A 19,939-nucleotide genomic window follows, 5' to 3' on the forward strand; every position below is an offset into this window, starting at 1 on the left:
GGAGTGAAAGCCATTTAGTCTGTCCCCATCCTCTCCGAGTCATCCTTCCCCTGATGCACAGATTTCGGCCGCCGCTCCTGCACACGCACCGGTGAAAAAGCTACGAGCTGAGCCGCCTCTGCGCTCTGGACAGGGCTGAGCCGCGCCTCCTACCCAGAGAGGGCGCGGGAGGTCCTGCCGCGGTTTTCCACCTGCCTGGAAATCCGAGCGGCTCCTCTAGCCTCGGCTGCTGCCGAGCTCGCTCCTCCCCGTCCGCTCGCCTGGCTCAGCTCTGCACGCCCCCCAGCTAGCTCCCGCTCTAGTCACCTCTTCCCCGCGCCCCCGCCCCTCTAGAGCTCGCGCCCGCCCCCCCCCACCCGCGCCTCCTCTGCCCGCCCTCCTCCCCCTCCCCCTTCCCTCCTGCCCTCCCTTCATTCCACAAGTGTCGCTTCGCTCTCTTCAGCGCACTTGGCGAGCTGGTGAGGTGAGAGGGATACTGCGAGAGGGCTAGGGGCGGCCAGTCCGGGGCTGCCGGCCAAGGCTAGGCGCTGCCAGCCCGATTCTCCTCTGCTCTCCACCCCCGCCTCACCCAGTGGCCGGCCGGACCTGCACCCCGCGCTTGACCCCGCTCATCCTCCCCCCGCCCGGCCGGGCGCGCTCCTCCCCGGCCGGCCCCTCGGCGCGCGGCGCGCTGGAGGCGAACGCGGGCTGAGGCGAACGCGGGCTGAGCCGAGCGCAGTGGCCGCCGACCACCGAGCGCCCCGCGCCGCTCCCTGCATGTGCGGCCCGCGGCGGCTCGCAGCTCCCGGCAGCAGCCTCGGCAGCTTCGGCCGCGCCTCGAGAGGCGGCCGCAGAGGCTCCAGCGGCGGCCGAGCGGCCGAGCCCGGGCTGGGAGACACCATGCGCCGCGTCCTTCGGCTGCTCCTCGGTTGCTTCCTCACCGAGCTGTGCGCCCGCGTGTGCCGGGCGCAGGAGCGAGCGGGACACGGGCAGCTGGCGCAACTGGGCGGCGTGTTGCTGCTGGCGGGGGGCAACCGCTCCGGGGCCGCCTCCGGAGAGGCCAGCGAGGGCGCTGAGGCATCGGACGCGCCCCCGACCCGGGCGCCCACGCCGGACTTCTGCCGGGGCTACTTCGATGTCATGGGCCAGTGGGACCCGCCGTTCAACTGCAGCTCGGGCGACTTCATCTTCTGCTGCGGGACTTGTGGCTTCCGGTTCTGCTGCACGTTTAAGAAGCGGCGACTGAACCAAAGCACCTGCACCAACTACGACACGCCGCTCTGGCTCAACACCGGCAAGCCCCCCGCCCGCAAGGACGACCCCTTGCACGACCCCACCAAGGACAAGACCAACCTGATCGTCTACATCATCTGCGGGGTGGTGGCCGTCATGGTGCTCGTGGGCATCTTCACCAAGCTGGGGCTGGAGAAAGCGCACCGGCCCCAAAGGGAGCACATGTCCAGGTGGGCTGCCTCCCCTTCGCCCTCCCCTCGGGGCTTCGCTCTCCCTGCTCTCTCCTCCCCACCTTCCCCCAGGCAATGGCGCTCCCCACGGTCCCCGCTCCCCGCATCCCAGCCTCTCCGCTGGGGGATGTCACCGGGAAGCCAACTTCGGCTTGGAACACGGAGAAGGGGCGCTGGGCTCAGCACAGGTGTGGGTCTGAGCGTGTTCGTGTGTGTGTGAGCGTGTGTGTGTGTGTGTGTGACTCTGCTCCCTCACCCTCTGGCCGCCTCCTCCCGCTGGTGACTGAGGCGGACTTGAGACACGTAGCCTGGGAGCCCGTGGCCCCGAAATCTTCGGGTTTGGGGAGAGGGTCCATGGCACCCCTCGGATTCCAGGTGCTAGCTTTTTGGTAAACAGGGGCAGGCGAGCCCGAAAGGGGAGGGGGGCGTGTGTGAGCCCGAGCGCGCGTGTGTGAAGGAGGGAGGGTCAGAGTGAGTGCCGCCTGCAACTCGTACGACTCGCGAAAAGGAGACGAGGGAGGTGGAGTGAGGGGAGGGCGAGAACAAAAGCCTTGCTTGGAGCGGCCGCCTCGCTTTCCCAGAGCTTCGCCGTCCCTGGATTTGGGACCTCAGCTGCCCCCGCCCCTTTACCCACCTCATCCCTTTCTCTGGCCACCACTTCTCCCTGCCCGGGGCCGTGGCCATCGCTGCAGATTGAGCCCCTTGCCCTGGCTGGCGTGGACTCCGGGGGCCCGAGCCCCCTCCTCGCGCGCCCTCACTTCCAAGCACCCTGATTTCGTCAACTTTCGGGTTTGCCTTGTTCATTATGCAAGCCCCAGCACCAGCTAGTTCCAGCAGATGGGAGAAGGCTTTGGGGGATTAATGGAGCTATTTGCCTTTTGCTTTTTTTAAATTTTTTTTATTTTAAGTGTCTAAATCGATTCGCAAACTCCGTAACTTTGGAGGCGGAGGACGCAGCCACTAGGAGCACTAAGCCCCCGGCCGCGGGAGAGGCTGGGGGTTGGCGTGAGGTCCGGGCGGGCGGGGTGGAAGGAGTGACTAGCGGCCTGCGAACAGCTGGATGGTTGGGGCATAAGCTTTAACTGTCCCCTTTCAGAGTCTGGGCAACGAAGTCGCTGTATTTTTCTCTACCCTCTCCCCACCCCTTCTTCCGCGCCCCCTCTGCCGGGGGCCTGTGTGTGTGCGCGCGTGTGTGCACGCGCTCCGTGTGATGCCTAAAAAATCTGAACAAAGAGACCCACCAAAAATAGGCAAAGGAACATCACCACCTCACTAGTAATTATTTTCTATTTATACGCAGAGTATCCGATGAGATTTTTTTTTTTCCCCCAGAGAGAAGAGATTTTGGGGGAAGAGGTGAGGAAGTTCTCGGTTTGGGTCAGCAGGGAGCTGTGGGTGGATGGTGGGGTCTTGCTGCACAGAAGTAAGCTCCGAGGGGCTTCAAAGAAACCCTGACCTACTAAAGGAGTAAAGCTCTGGCCCCGCCCACCTTCCGCAACCACAGGGTGGCCTGTCCCCAGCCCCACCGGCCAGGCCAGTCCCTGTTAATTCCCCGGGTCTGTGTTAAGATGAGGGGAGAAGTGGTCTCAGGACTGAGGCAGCGGGTGTCGCCTTGGTAGGGAAAGATTGACTCCGAGACAGGTAGGCTGCCTTGCAGATTTGGTTAACTACTGCTGAAATCTCCATCAAGCCCTGCCCTCGCGAACCAGCTCTTAAAAGAGTCCTCCTTGATGGTTGGCCTGACGGGAGGTGAGCAGGTGGGGAGAGGAGCTAACCTTTGGGCATCTGTGGGAGAAAGTGATGCTAGATCAGCCCTCTTTGATCTGGGCGTTCTGGTGACAGCTCTCTACCGGTTACCCAAGGGCCCAACTTCCTGGTCCTGCCCCCGTGCAGCTCTGCTGGGGGAAAAATGAACACAGCTGAGCGGGTTGCAGCTACTTTCTTCTGCAGGTATAGGGAGGGTCGGCCTGGTGGCAGAATCTAGGGGACCCAGTCCTAGGGTACCAGAGCCTCAACACAGGTCCTCCCAGTATACATTTTTGAGAATTCCAGAATGGAGTGGAAGTGCATACTCCCGAAAAGAGAGTTGTTGATTTTTACTGGCAGCTTCTAAGGTATGATTTTCAACTGTAACTGCTGTGTAGTATTACCTAGAATGTTTTATAAAAAAAATCCTGTCACCAGGGGTCCCACCCTAGGCTACTTAGATCCAAATCTCTAGGGTGGGACCTGAGCATCTGTATTATTATTTATTTATTTTTTGTATTTTTAGTAGAGACGGGTTTTCACCATGTTGGCCAGGCAGGTTTTGAACTCCTGACCTCCAGTGATCCTCCCACCTCAGCCTCCCAAAGTGCTAGGACTACAGGCATGAGCCACTGTGCCCGATTGCATCTGCACCTTGAAAAGCTCTCCAGGTGATGCTAATGTGCAGCCAATCGCTGTTAAGGAAAAGGAACTAATGCCTGCTGAGCACTGTGCAGGGAGCCAGGCACTGTACTGGGGTGTGTGTGTGTGTGCAAGTAAACACTCTCTCATTTAGTTCTCACAACTATCTTATGAGACAGGTACTATTTTAATATTCACATACATGCAAGAAAATCATGGCTCAGGTGAGGTGCTGTGTCCAAGATCACACAGTTAGGAAATTATGCATTACCAGTCTCCTGGTTTTAATTGTGTCTGGGACAGATGTTTTCAGATTGAATAAACATCAGGATCTGGGGCAGTGTCCTAAAATGCAGATTCTTGAGTTCTATCCACAGAGATTGTGAATCAATAGGTTCTGGGTGGGCCCGAGAAATCTTCATTTAACAACCCCCACTCCCCTAATGGCTTTGAGATAAAGTGGTCCACACTTGGGGAAACATTGGTCTTGGGTTTGGGGATATTTCACAGGGCTGATGGAGGGATAAATTAATCCAGGAGAAAGGAGAGGAGCCACTGTGAATCTCTTATTTTATTTGCATTTTTTTTTTTTTTGAGGCAGAGTCTCGCTCTGTCACCCAGGCTGGAGTGCAGTGGCAGGATCTCCGCTCACTGCAACCTCCGCCTCCCAGGTTCAAGTGATTCTCCTGCCTCAGCCTCCTGACTGGCTGGGACTACAGGCATGCACCACCACACCTGGCTAATTTTTTTGAATTTTTAGTAGAGACAGGGTTCCACCTGGCCTGGGGTTGGCCAGGCTGGTCTCGAACTCCTGACCTCATGCGATCCTTTCACCTCTGCCTCCCAAAGTGCTGGAATTACAGGCATGAGCCACTGTGCCTGACCGTATTTGTATTCTGTTGCTTGTTTCTCAACGTATGTAACTTTTCTGTGGTGCTGGGGCTACCCCAGGTACCTGCCAAATGCATCCTGGGCTGCTTACGCAGTTAATCACTTGGAGTCCCAGCTATGGCAACTGACCCAGTAGCCTTTGCCGGATTGTGCCAAGGGTTGCTCCAGTGGGTGTCAACTTGCCAAGCTTGGCATCAGAGAGGCTGCTATGACACAAAGCAGCTTCCAGGTGAAATTAACCTGCCAGTCACAGGCAGCTTCCAGGTGAAATTAACCTGCCAGTCACAGCCTCTTAATTTTTGTCTGGAGCTGCAAGGGACCCTGAATGGGGGTTTGTTCTCATCCAGACTGAAAGCATATTCTCTTGAAAGACATAAAGTATGTTGTCGCACCCCCATTATAAACTTTGCCCCTAGTGACCAGTAAACTTGGGTTTTGCTGCAGAGGCCTCCAAGATACCAGTTTGCAGGTTCAGAGTCCTGGGCCTGTGGCCTGCTTGCTTCTGGGCTAATTAGGGCTGAGAAAAGGAGAAAGACAGCAATTCCAGGAAGCGGTGGGGGGAGGCTCGCATGGGATCTCGTAAGAACCGAACAAATGCCCATTGAGCAGCTGCAAGAGCAGCCACAGTCAGTCACTATTTATTAGAATAAATGACTGCACATGGCAGCCAGCTATGGATACCAAACCATGTAGTCATGCTTTGCTTGATCTGCAAGGTATTTCTACTTAGGTGTTTTTATTTTTAAGTTTTCCTCAATTTTGTGTTGTGAGAAGTTTTAAACATACAAAAAAACCTTGAAAAATCATAACATAACTTCACTATATCCTTTATCTAGATGAGGATTTCTCAACCTTGGCACTATTGACTGGAGAATCCTGCGTTGTACGGGGCTGTCCTGTGCATGGCAAGATATTTGGCGGCGTCTCTGGTCTCTGCCCACTGATGCTGGTAGCACACACTCCACACCCCAGTTTTGACAGTGAAAAATGTCATCTAAGGGCAAAGGGCAAAACTGGCCCCAGTTGAGAACCACTAACTTAGATTGAACAATTATTAGTATTTTGTCATAGTTGCTTTATTGCTCACACACTCTTTCCATATTTTTTTCTTTCCCTTCTCCTTCCCTCCATCCCCCTTCCCCCTTCCCTCCTTCCCTCCCTCCCTTCCTCCTTTGTTTTTTCCTTCCTTCCTTATTTCCTTCCTTCCTCTCTTCCTTTCTTCTTTTCTTCCTTTCCCTCCCTCCCTCCCTCCTTCCCTCCATCCCCCTTCCACCCTTCCCTCCCTCCGTCCCTCCCTCCCTCCCTTCCTTGCTTCCTTCCTCCTTTCTTTCCTCTCTTCCCTTCCTACCCTTCTTCCTTCTGTCTTCTTCCCTTCCTCCCTTCTTTGCTTCTTTTTTCCTTCCTCCCTTCCCTTTTCTCCCTTCTCTTTCCTTCCTTCCCCTCCCCTCTTCTCATCTTCTTCCCTTCCTCATTTTCTTCCTTCCCTCTTCCCCTCCCTCCCTTTCTTCTTTCTTTCTTGGCTGAAACATGTGAAAATAAGTTGCAGACATGACACTTAGTCCCTAATATCTCAGCAGGGGGCTTTCCTGAGAGCAAGGACATTTTCCTACACAGCACAATTCCATTATCACACCCAGGAAAAAGAGCAAAAATCCCGTAATATCATCAGACATCCAGTCATTTAAAAATTTCTCACTCGCACAAAAACAGGTCTTTCAGAGCTTGGTTTTGCACATCGGGACCCAGCTCATTGTATTTGGCTGTGAAATCTCTTTAGTCTCTATTATGCGTGGTGTTTTAAAACCAGCTGAGACTCAGTTGCCAACATTTACAAACTGGGAGATTTCACGCAGGAATCCAGATTCCTGATTTCTCATGAGAACTCAGTGGGTCTGGTGACATTGGATCTGCATTTTCACGCAGCAGCTATTGGTTGCCACTAAGTGATGACTGCCCCCTTCAGGAAGCTCTTGGGTTCATCTCAGTCACCACCTCCACCCAATTCACTCTGTTATGTTAACTGCAGCCTCTAGAGAGTCAGTCAAGTTGCTCTGCATAGCGCAGACTCCAGTCAGATGGCCTGAGATTCAATCTCAGCTCAGCCACTTAATAGCTGTGTGACCTTGGGAAGGTTGCTTCACCTCTCTGAGTCTCAGGCTGTTGTCTGCAGGTGGAGGATTCACTGAGACAGGGCTTGGAAAACAATGAGCTCAGGACCTGTCACAACTATTACCCTTTTATCATCATCCTTATTATTGACATTTTTTACCTCTTGTCTACTGAAGAGAATTATGTTGTCATCTGGATCTCGGTTACTAACCCTTGCTCTGCTATATTTATTTAACTGTGTGACATTGACCAAGTCTCCTAACCTCTCTGGACTTGCATTTGAATCTGAGTGGGAGGGGCTGGCAGGTGCAGAATAGGAGGGAGGGTCTATATGTGACTACGTTAAATACATTGCAAAGTGTTGGCCTAAGTGGTGTTGAAAAATCCTTGTTGGTTTTGCAATTTTGCCATAAGCTTATGTGTAAATTCTCGTTTAATTTCATACCCTTCCCCCATGAGGTAGGCTCTATGACAATCTGCTGTTTATGGAGGCACAGATTTCTTTCCAAGAGGACGAACCTGCCCCTGGAGAGTGGAGTGTCGGACTTCAAACCTGGACAGTCTGAGTGCACGGATCCTTGGCCGCTAGGCTGCACTGCGTTTGAGTGCAAACCTGCAGGAATTCCAGACTTCTCAGATCACAGAGAAGTACGCGATGCCCTGCAAACAACAGCTCATGCATCGGGGCCAGTTCAAGAAGCTACCGTAAGATGAAGTCTAGGAATGCTTTCTATATCGGCCCCGGCAGGCCCAGACGTCTTGGTGGAGGCGTTGGTGAGAAATGACCTTGGGGACAGAAGCACATATGTGAAGCTCTCTACACTTGAAGCCAGTAGGGAACACATGTCATTATTTTGTCCACCTTCAAACAGAATTGGAAATCCAAGTGGCAAATGGCAGATAAGGGTCCTGTGTGTTTTTAAAACATGCTTCAGAAGAACTGGCACCCCTTGGAAAGAAATAGCAACAAATAATGATAAATGCACCTCCTCCTCTTGCCTTTTGCCTTCCAGTTTCTCTCCTGCCTCTCATCTTTCTATGCATTTGTGGTTATCCTAAGGCTTTGACCAGCTTCCCAGGCTGGAGAAGTCCATGTGTGCATGCATCTACTGTTGGCCACAGAAAAGTCTTAATTTATTTTTCTTTGCAGGGTATGTTGACTTCTCTTTGGGCACTGAGTCCTTGCATTTTAAAAATCAACTTCATTGAAGTATAATTTACACAATAAAATGCACACATTGTAAGTGTGTAGTTTGATGAGCTTGGACAAATGTCTATACCTGTGTAATCATTACTCTAGAAAGCTCACTCATGCCCATTGCCCTTGCATTTTTGAAAAATAATTGATGCTTCTTGTGCAAGAAGAAGTGCTCAGGAACTCTATTCAAGTGTTTAAAAGTCAACACATAGATTGGACATTGGGATACCTGGAGGCTTTGAAGCAAGATACCGGGACTCTGAGTTCTGTTTGGAAATATTGGTGTCATATATTTGTCATTGTAATTGGAAAGAAAAGAGATGCACCATTTTCTTCTTGTTCTTTGGATAAGCTAAGCTCATTCCCATCTTGGAGCTGTTGCACTGGCCCTTGTGTGGCTGGTCCCTCCTCATCACCAGGGTCCCAGCTCCAATGTCATCTTCTCTGAGAAGCCGTCCCTGACCAGGCTTAGTTGCTTCCCACCCCAGCCTGACACACTCCAGCCCATCACCCAGTCAGTGTTATTTGCTTCATTTTTACATTATGGTCTAAAATTAACTTGCTAGTTTACTGGTTTACTAGTTTATTATCTGTCTCCTTCCATTATCCCTCTCCTTCCCTCCTTCCCTTCCCCTTCCTTCCTTCCTTCCTTCCTTCCTTCGAGACACAGTCGTACTCTGTCACCCCGGCTGGAGTGCAGTGGTGTGATCTTGCCTCACTACAACCCCTGCCTCCTGGGTTTTAGCGATTCTTCTGCCTCAGCCTCCCGAGTAGCTGGGACTACAGGCACCCACCATGATGCCAGGCTAATTTTTGTATTTTTATTGGAGACAGGGTTTCACCATGTTGGCCAGGCTGGTCTCGAACTCTTGACCTCAAGTGATCCACCTGTCTCGGCCTCCCAAAGTGCTGGGATTACAGGCATGAGCCACTGCACCTGGCCCTTTTATTATTCATAGTAAGACACACAGGGACCACAATTGTCTCTTCTACTCAGTAGTTGGATTCTGAGTGCCTAGTTCAGTATTTGGCAAGTAAGAGTTCTGCATTTGATATCCTGGTTTACCTGGCACAACAAAGTATCTCCAAATTCATTCATTCATTCTTTCATTCATTCGATAGGTATTTACTGAACATCTAACTTATGCCCAACACTGTGCTGAGAGATATGAGATAACCATGAATAGTACAAAAGCAATCCCTGCCCTTGAAGAGCAAACAGCCAAATATCAGGAGACAGGTAACACACAAGGAAATGTACAAGAAAGTTGAGCCAGCACTTTTATAAGTACTGGTTCTAGTACTAGCTTTCATAAGAAAGTACTGGTTCTAGTACTAGCTTTCAGTACTCTCTTGTGAAATTTTCAATATTCAGTCATTTCAACCTCAAAAATGGCAACATAATTATGTTTCAACATAATTGTTGTTTTAAACAAACAATTTTGTTTCAACATAATTCTCCTGAACTGGGTGGAAGGCTATCAAGAAAAAGCTTAGCTTCTTCTTCAGGTAACTGCAAGAGACAGGGTTCTCTAGAGAAACAGAACAAATATACAAAGAGATTCATTATAAGGAATTGGAAGTCCAAAATCTCCAGAGCCTCTGTACTTGTACAAGTCTGAAGGCCGACAGGCAGGAGAATTCTCTCTTTTTGGGGCAAAGGTCAGTGTTTTGTTCTATCCAGGCTTTCAGATGATTGGTTGAGGCTCACTCACATTAGAAGGGCAATCTGTCTTACTGCCATTAGAATGCAACCTGTTTTACTTAGCTTACTGATTTCAATGTTAATCTATTTCAAGAGCACCCTCACAGAAACACCCAGAATAATGTTTGATGAAATATCTGGGCACCCTGTGACCCAGTCAAGTTGACACATGACACTAACCATCACAGTACGCTTAGGGTCTTGTCACTCGGAGTGTGGCCTGTGAACCAGCAGCATTTTTATCTTCTGGGAGCTTGGGCACGATCTCAGGCCCCACCTCCTGCTTATTGATTCAGAATCTGCATTTTAACAAGATCCCCAGGTGATCTGGATGCACCGTAACATCTGAGAAGCACTCAAACTATGTGCCGCAAACAAACGCCAAATTCTTAGGCATTTGTGTGGCTTGGAGCACATAGTTGGTTCTTTCTACTGTCTAATTCATTACATTTTTTCAGCACATTCCTGTCTATAAAATGTTTTTTTGTATGCACCCCAATATATGCACATTTATAAGCATATGCATGAACCCACGAACAATGATTAGGTACATTATGAAGCATACGTAAGGACAGAAATTTCAAACCAAGCTTGAGGGTGAAATAAATATTATTTGAAAACCTGTTGCTAATTGTGATGACTTCATACTATCATTAGTTACTATCTCAATGCATAATGTACAGTGACGGGTGAAGTTTATCATTAATAAAAAAAATCTGGATTTTAACCATTCCTCCTGAGCATTTTCATTATTTTTATCTGACTTTGTTTTGATCTCAATAGACTGTAATTGTTTTACCCTTGTGAGAAGCTTTTGAAGAGAAGGGAGGGGAGTCCAGTTTAGTGTTTTCTTGTGCTTGCATGATCAGTGCTATCTTCAGGCTGTAGTTTTGTTAAGAAGGGGGGCATTTTTAAACCACATGTCTGCTTTGTGATGGTTAGCCAAGTCAAAAGTATTAGGTCGGTGCAAGAGTAATTGCAGTTTTTGCCATTACTTTCAATGTCAAAAACCACAATTACTTTTACCCCAAGCTAATAAATAATTTAATCTGTGCATCCCCTTTGGGGGCACATATAATTGCCATACAGGCAGCACATCCCAGCGACGGGACTGCTGGTGGTCATCTTCCTTGGTCCAAGGTTCCTGATTCCTGCCATCTTACATGGGCCTTCTGGGAGTGGGTGCCAGCATCAATACACGTAAGACCATACAAAAAAGTTCTGACATTTCCTTCCCCATACCAAATCGGTTTATGCAGTCCCTGGAGTGAGCGAGCCCCACTTCAAAGACTCTTTGTCCAGGAAATGAAGGTCCCTAAAGACTCTTCATTTCTGCCGCACACTCTAGGAAGGGCTGCCCTGGGGAAAAGTGTCCTTGGACTTTGGGGCTGAAATTTCACAAATTTTGGTACTCAAGAGAAGCCCAGGGGATCTGCGGATGGCAGAACCGACCAAGTTCACAGTAGCCATTCTGATTACGTACTTTGTTATCCTTTCAAAAGCCTGAATAGTTCGGAGTTTTGGGGCGCGGGAGAGTGGGGGACTTCTTAGAAAATCCGATAAAAGTGATGGCTTCTTGCTCGAGAAACATGCACAAACACAATTTCTATGCAGTTTCAGAGGATTCAGCGATCCCCTGAAGCTCAGCATGAAGAGCCTGTTTACAAGTGAAAAAGGCAAGTTAGGTTTGGAAGGCCTCTGTCTTTTGTCTCAAAACTTTCTTTCCCTGTAGCCCCTTTGAGTTTCAGACCCTGCTTATTGCACGGAGGTTGCAAGGAGCCCAAACTTTGATTTCAAAGACGTTCAGGATTGCATCTCCTCCCAATCCCCGCACTGCTTAGTGAGTTCACGTGGGCAGTATTTCACTCTGTGAAACAGGTGATGCTGATGGACACCTTGTCACGTGCCCCTGCTCGTTGGCCCTCTTCCAGTTCCATTGGCCTTCTTGCTTGTTCTCCGAATATCTCAGCTCTTTTCTGTCTCAGGGCCTTTGCACTTGCTGTTCTTTCAGCCTGGAATGCTCTTCCCATCATCTTCACGTGTCCAACTCCTCGCTGTTCAAGGCCCATCTCCAGTGTCACCCCCTCACAAAGGCATTTCCTGATTTACACCGAATCTCTCCCTCCTTTCTATTTGTAACTTAAAAAAAAAGTATACAGTTCAGTGGTTTTTGGTATATTTAAAAAGTGTACTTTAAAAAAGTATAGTGTGCGATTCAATGGTTTTTAATATATAGGTTGGTGCAAAAGTAATTGTGGTTTTTGTCATTACTTCTTTTTTTTGGCGGGGAGGAGGGGGACTGAGTTTCACTCTTGTTGCCCAGCCTGGAGTGCAGCAGTGTGATCTCAGCTCACTGCAATCTCCACCTCCTGGGTTCAAGCAATTCTCCTGCCCCAGCCTCCTGAGTAGCCGGGATTACAGGTGCCCACCACCACGCCCAGCTAATTATTGTATTTTTAGTAGAGATGGGGTTTCACCATGTTGGCCAGGCTGGTCTTGAAATCCTGATCTCAGGTGATCCACCCGTCTTGGCCTCCCAAAGTGCTGGGATTACAGGTGTGAACCACTGCAACCAGCCCATTTTTGTCATTACTTCTAATGGCAAAAGTTGCAATTCTTTTTGCACTAATCTAATACTTACAAAGTTGTGCCACCATCATCACTACTTACTCCAAGTCCAGTATCTAATTCTAATAAGGTTTTAATCACCCTTACAAAAAAAATCCATATCCATTAGCAGCCACTTTCCTCTCCCCTCACTGTGTCCCCTGGCAACCATGAATCTACTTTCCATCTTTATGGATTTGCCTGTTCTGGACATTGGATATCAATGGAATCATACAATGTGTGGCCTTTTGTATCTGGCCTCTTTCACGGGGAATAATATTTTCAAGATTCATTTACGTTGTAGCAGGTACTAGTGCTTCATTTCTTTGTACGGCTGGAGAATATTCCATTTCCTGTAACACATCTCGTGTGTCCATTCATCAGCTGACGGCCATTCAGGTTGTTTCCGCTTGTTGGCTATTGTGAAAATTGCTGCTGTGTCCCAGGCTCTCTTGATCACATTACTCTTATTTATTTGATTTGCAGCCCTCGTTTATTTATTTCTTTTTTGTTTGTTTTTCTTTTTTTTTTTTTTTTTGAGATGGAGTCTTGCTCTGTCGCCCAGGCTGGAGTGCAATGGCGCGATCTCGGCTCACTGCAACCCCTGCCTCCCGGGTTCAAGCAATTGTCCTGCCTCAGCCTCCCGAGTAGCTGGGACTAGGGGCATGCTCCACCACGCCCGGCTAATTTTTGTATTTTTAGTAGAGATGGGGTTTCACCATGTTGGTCGGGCTGGTCTCGAACTCCTGACCTCGTGATCTGCCCACCTCGGCCTCCCAAAGTGCTGGGATTACAGGCGTGAGCCACCGTGCCCGGTAGTTTATCTACTTAACATGTTTGTTTATTTTTTTTTTAAATCTTCTCCCATAGAATATAAGCTCCAGGAAGGCAGCAACCTTGTTCATCTTGGGCACTGCTGTATCTTCAGGGCCTTATATAGTGCATGGCACATAGTAGACGATAAATATTTGTTGAAACAATGAAAGAATGATAGCTGTTGTTATTCTCTTGTCTCTTAGCAGACTCAGTCTTTTCCTCTCATTCATATGGGGCTCTTGCTGTTGTGGCTTCTCACAACGCAGCTGTTGTGAGAAGCATGTGCACTAGTCCACGTAAAGTCCCTATGTAATCTCTGTCTCACAGCCGAGATGTCTCCTCACCAGCTCTAGTTCTTACCCTATCATTCCATTGCCCCGTGATCGACAGTTCCCCATGCTTGGGGCCTGTGTGGCCTTAGCACGGTCTCAAATTTGAATGTGTAGCAGATTCTTGCAGGTTGCTGGGTGAACTCCACCCCTGTAGTTTCTGACTCAGGAGGGCTAGATGGATCTGAAAATTTGCATCTTAACAAGTTCCCAGGCGACACTGCTAGGACACTGACACCGTTGATAGGTGGACTGTTGTTTGAGAATCGCTGCTGTAGTACGGTAAGTTCCAGCAGACAGGCTGGGCCTGCTGAATTCATGGGTGGTCTGCGTGGGTTGCCCCCAAACAGCTCCTCTTCCGACTCTGTCTCCCAGTGTGTGGGCTTAGAGGGCTCTGGCCAGCTAAGGGCATGGGGGTATATCCCCAAACACGGCAATTCTACTTGTGGGTTTGCACCCTGGAGAACTTCTCTGTGGTACAGAGGAGGCCGGTATGAAGATGTTTATTGGCCAGCTGCGGTGGCTCGTGCTTGTAATCCCAACACTTTGAGAGGTGGAGGTGGGAGAATCTCTTGAGGCCAGGAGTTTGAAACCAGCCTGGTCAACATAGTAAGACCCTGAGACCACGTCTCTACAAAATAAAACAAAGTAGCTGGGGGTGGTGGCATGTGCCTGTGGTCCCAGCTATTCAGGAGGCTGAGGAGTTCGAGGCTGCTGTGAGCCATGATCACACCACTGCACTCCAGCCTGGGTGACAGAGCAAGACCCTATCTGAAGAAAGAAAAAGATGTTTATTGCAGTGTTGTTTATCGGGGCTGGGGAGTTGGTGACCATCTAGATGGCCATAATTATGGAAATAACAAATGGGGCTGATAGTCTGCTGGTTTGCAATGATGGCAGCTGTTTGTAGCTGCCATCCATTCTGATGGGTTTCTGATGGGCCAGTTCCTCCACCATACTAATTATTGCATATGAAGGCTCATTCCTGAAGGTAAGTGAAATGTGGGGATTGCTTATGACGGAATACTATGCAGCGGCTGCAAGGGATGGAAGGGTTTCACATTCAGCAATATGGCTAACACTCACGTGTGAACAAAGGAAGAAACGGAATGAGGTTTAGGGTAAAAACACTGTTTATGTAAAAGACACACACATATACAACAATACCTACAAAAATATATATCTTTCAAGGATATTCATATGATCTAAATAAACACATGATGGAGTGTAAAGAGAAAAAATGCATTGGTAGGTCTGATCTTGGGTGTGGTATCTGTTTGACAGCTCTCTGGTCTGTTCTACGTATGAACACTGAGTTTTTTTTTTGTGTGTGTGTGTGTGTTTTTTTTTTTTTTTTTTTGCTAAGTTTACATCTAATCATGAAGGTCACTGTCACAGGTTGAATTGTGTCTCCATCCCCCTGCACACTCCAAAAATACTCAGGCTCAAATTCTTGTGCCACAACTTACTGGCTCTGTGACCTTGAGCAGGTCGATTCACCTCTCTGAGCCTTTGTTTACTTATCTGCAAGGAGTAATAATCCTCATAATGTGTTTTGTGCTGTTTTGTTTAGTTAAGACGTAATGCGATTAGCGTGGTGCCTGGCTTATGGCAAATACTCAATAAATGTTATCTACTGTTACTAATACTGGGCCATTGCTGTACATGAAGAGTTTGTATCTAGTGTTAGATATAAAGAGAGAACTAAATCTATGGAGTGCAGACACATTATATGTATTCATCATTTAATCCTCTTAAAAACTCCGTGGGGTAGATAGTCCTGTTATTACATGGCTGCTGTGAGAAGCATATGCAGTAGCCTGCGTAAAGTCCCTATGTAACCTCTAATTACAGTGATTTTATTTACTTACGTTTTTCTCTACTCCACCCCTAACTAGAATGGTGGCTCCATGGAGTAATCCGCCTTGCCATTTGTTCGCGACTGCAGTACTCGGCGCATAGCAGCTGCCAGTCATTGTGTTTTGAATGAACAGATTTAAATTCTTTCTTCTTTCAGGGCCCTTGCGGATGTCATGAGACCACAGGGCCACTGCAACACTGATCACATGGAGAGAGACCTAAACATCGTTGTCCACGTCCAGCATTATGAGAACATGGACACGAGAACCCCCATAAATAATCTTCGTAAGTACAGCTGCATGAACCATTTCCAGTCCCATGGGGTGACCTGAGCAGTGGTCACATTGCCAGATTTCGTGGAGTGTGCTTGGGTTAGTTAAGAGCTCTTTGTGGGCAAGTTAGAAGCTTTCTTTCATGTCTTTTGGATGAAGCTGAATTTAGCATCATCCGATGTCCGTTGGTTGCTTTCTTTGTTAAATGGCGATCCACTTGGTTGGTTTCACATGATTGATACTTTTAGCTAGCAGACTGCTCGACTGGTTCATCTTGATTGATTTATTAACTAGATTAGTGGCCCTCTTGGTTGTTTCATCATGGTTGGATACTTAGTTAACCAATGGATTATTGGGTTAGTTCATTTTAGCTAGTCAATCTGTTAGCCAATGGTCTGCTAGCTTATACGTCTGCCTCCTGAGGTAGACCAGTTGTGACTTCTAGGTTTCATGCTGTTTTCAATTATGAAATACTAGTTCAGAAGAATTATGTCTATTCTTTGTAACGCTAGAGTTTCATAAAAATAATCCACAGAATATTCCGTGTGTAGGGGGTGCAGGGAGTGGTTATTGAATTTCGGTCCTGTTGATTTGAGGTTCCTCTGTATGATTCAACAGCAGCAAATTCGTTTCCATTGTTCTGCCAGGGGAAAAAAAAAACTGTGTTTGCTATTGTGTTTCAATAGGTATTTTTCACAGAGCATGACTGGGGATCTTGGTATACTCCCAAAGATTTTCTTTCCTTTCAAAGGTCTGTATATACAATATACATCGTGGAGCTGATGCTCTGACCTATGAGACTGGAGAAAAAATAAGATTGTTTAGTTTTTGACAATAATGTAATACTGTGGTTACCCCAGTAATTATGTTTTCAAGTAACCCCCACATTAAAGTAATGTGGAGGGTTTGGTTTAAAATAACAAAAGCCAGACAATTTAAAGAATGCATTTAGTTGTGGCTGGAGGTTCCTGAAAACAGAAACAATTCTAATGATGCACATTTTTACAGACTGGGTCGTCTTTGCTGAGGCTCCACTAGGAGTTGCCTGGGTGTTTTATTTGCTGAATCATAGTTTTGGACTGTTTGGTTGCAAATTCTTATGCTCAGTGGGTAGAGGAAGAAGCCTGTGGAATTTGACCTAGGCAATGTGAATTCTCTGATTCTGCCTAGTGATGATTTTTCATGGTTTGGAAATTGTTGCAGTGTGTTAGTAAAGTCAATGTTTGCATGGTTTGAAAAATAGGCCACCAAATAGGATGTGTTAGGTTTAAATATATTAAATAATTTAACATTATTAGTGAACTGGATCACAAAAGGGTATGAGAAATAGCAACATTTTAGAACAAAATACACCAGCAAATGGAAGTTTTATGACCAAATCCCATAGCCCCCCGAAGATATGGTAAATGGCATCAATTCTGACACGGCAGTTGCTGTGTCCGATTCTGGCTTTAATGGAAATGAGCACATTTTCTTTCAGTTCGCACTGGGAAATAAGTTGAACCTAGTCGTGTGCTTCAGTCCCAGACATCGTATACAAATGAACATGATCACAGAGCAGAGAAATTGAAAGGGTGTCAAGTCCTTGGCTGTAAAAGGTGATTGCTAACAGGATTTTCCCTTGAAGTTCCAATCTCTAGGATGATTTTTGAATCAGCACTCAAATGAAATAACAAACTCATTGAAGTCACCTAAGTTTCATCATTCCATCAGGTGGGCGGGAAACCTTAATGAATGTTGCTTACATAAGGCGTTTTCATTGAAAGTTGTACTGAAAATGGATTACTGCTCAGAGATGGGTGTCCAGGGACAGAAGTCTCTTGCGCCAGGCTGCTTTGGTTTATTTATGATTCTTGCGTTTGGTCTATATTTGTGCCTAAGTAATCAGTGATCTTTTACATCAAGGGAGAAAGTGTCTCATAATAGTGTACTGGGTAGCACTAGACTAGAGAATTCCTGGGAAGCTACAGGGGAGAATTCTAGAAGTCATTCTACAAACACTACATTCTTACAAGAATTGCCCAGATATTAATTTTATATAATCCTTCCAGGTTGATCCAATTCTTCTTTCCTAGCATTGTTGGGAATATCTGAATAACAAAAATAAGAAGAATGTGACCTTTTCACCGGTTTATATTAATAAGCTTAATATATGTAACACATTAATTCAGCAGCCGACAGTAATAACAGATTTCCTTGTTTATCTTTTTATTGATTTACAGGAGCTACTTACATATTATAGATACAGAAAAACATTTGTATGTTCAGATGAACAGATGATTTGAGGAGTGCATTGAGAGAATAGGATGAGATAACTGATATTAATCAGTTAAGGGTTTAAGAAGCCAAGCAGTCATCAGAGAACATTTTGATTGATAGCAAAGTAGAAGGGAAGGTATCCAGTCTGATAAATGGAAAATTAGACCAGCCCTTTGTGCCAGAACCAGAAGGCACCCATTTAATATAAAACCCTTCCCTGGACATTATGAGATGTACAAGGATTTACCATTACACAAATTGGAAAGAATGATGCATCTATTTGTGAAACACCAAGAAGGGCACGTCATGCTATTTTCAGTTTGTTCTTCACTGAACATCCAAGTTGTTAGATTTGACTGAGGATTCACTAGTCTCAAGTTAAATGTCATTTTCATGTCTATTCAATCACCCACTCAACATTGCTTTAAGAGAATACTAATCTCCATCTATTTCTCTCTTCTTATCTTAATATTAACCTTAGGTCTCTTTCTATTCTTTCTCTTAAGTTTTAGTCAAATGGTAAGATAATAGCCAGTGTAGAGATCTGGATATTTGGGAAGAGGGCCATGGAGAGAGACTTGGGTGAAGGTGAACTGGGAGGAAAGAGAACATTTTTGTCAACGTTTCTACATTAATTTTCTGGGGTTGATTTTTCCTGTGATATATTGGACTTGCCTTTTTATCTAAAGACGGATTTTTCTTCAGCGGATGCTGTTCATGTTCTTTCCAGGCATTCAGTGATATTGCCTAAAAATATTTAGTCTGATAATCAAAAGGGCCTCAACCTCTTTGATTAACAGGATGTAGTTTCCTGTGAGATGGTGATTTTCTGCAAATGCTCCTCAGCTTCTGTATAATTATCGTTTGTTTTTGAAGGCACATTTTGTCCTTAAGTGCTATGAACATACCCTACCTCCTGCACCCCGACTTCCCTGACTGCCAGTGACACCCCTCTCCCCCTTTCGGGGTTCAGGCTGCATGTAGGTTCCCTTTGGTCTTCTTAAGGATGGAAGACGTGAGTGAGGGGCTGTGGCTACAGCCTGGATCAACGTTTCTCACTCATTTGTGTTCACAGCACACTTCTTGAAATACAGTTTTTGTTTCAAGTCGTGGGTACGGGGAGGGGGGAGGGATAGCATCAGGAGATATACCTAATGTAAATGAACAGTTAATGGGTGCAGCACACCAACATGGCACATGTATACATATGTAACAAACCTGCACGTTGTGCACATGTACCCTAGAACTTAAAGTATATATATATATAAAAGAAATACAGTTTTTGTTTCTGAGTACTTTTAAAAATATTTACAGCAGAAAGGTTGCAAAGATAGTACCCAGAAAAATGAATAAGACCTACTGTTTGATAGCACAACAGGGTGACTATAGTCAATAGTAACTTACTTAACTGTAAGTTTTAAAATAACTTAAAGAGTGTCATTGGATTGTTTGTAACTGAAAGGATAGATGCTTGAGGGGATGGATGCCCCATTCTCCATGATGTGCTTATTTCACATTGCATGCCTGTATGGAAACATCTCATGTACCCTACAAATATATACACCTACTATGTACCAGCAAACATAAAACAACAACAACAACAAAAGATAGTACACAGAGTTCTGTATACTCCTCACCCACTCTCCCCAATATCAACATTTGACATCACCAAGGTACCTTTGTCAAAACTAAGAAATCAACGTGAGTACTTTCCTTTTAGCTAAACTGTAGACATGTTTGGATTTTGCTAGTTTCTTCACTAATATTCCTTTTCTGTTCTAGAGTCCCATCCAGGATACCACGTTGTCTTTAATAGAGCACACTTTGATCATAGAATTTTGGTTGTGCAGTATTGCATAATGATGTGGTAAAGACAGGAAACAACACTAAACAAGCCAGAAGCGATTACAAAGACTTTACTGCCACAGTGTAAAACGTGTTTCCTAGTGTCTATAAAAACAACTACATAAAATTACTCTCTTTGGGTCAGTGTTGGAATGGAACCAGTTGTTGGTCTGACTGTGCTCTTGTATATGTTCATAGGACAAAGACTTTCATATTCC

The 19,939-nt window shown here is 46.6% G+C and overlaps 1 protein-coding gene across 7 annotated transcripts in view; it reads left to right on the plus strand.

Annotated features, from left to right (window-relative positions):
- The first annotated feature begins 412 nt into the window (after nt 1–412).
- Nucleotides 413–19,939, plus strand: part of SHISA9 (shisa family member 9) — a 661,420-nt gene continuing 641,893 nt past the window's right edge. For 6 of the 7 annotated variants that reach the window (XR_932915.3, XR_007064905.1, XM_011522642.3 and 3 more), the window contains exons 1-2: nt 413–1,442; nt 15,503–15,630. Coding sequence is in view for 5 of the 7 variants with exons in the window: in XM_011522642.3 (XP_011520944.1) it covers nt 757–1,442; nt 15,503–15,630 (814 nt within the window). In the remaining 2 variants the exon portion in view is untranslated. Of the gene's footprint in view, nt 1,443–7,293; nt 10,461–15,502; nt 15,631–19,939 lie in introns of those variants that run through there. The other variant, NM_001145205.2, reaches the window with a different exon arrangement.

This window comes from Homo sapiens, chromosome 16 (genome assembly GCF_000001405.40).
Source record: "Homo sapiens chromosome 16, GRCh38.p14 Primary Assembly".
NCBI lineage: Eukaryota > Metazoa > Chordata > Mammalia > Primates > Hominidae > Homo > Homo sapiens.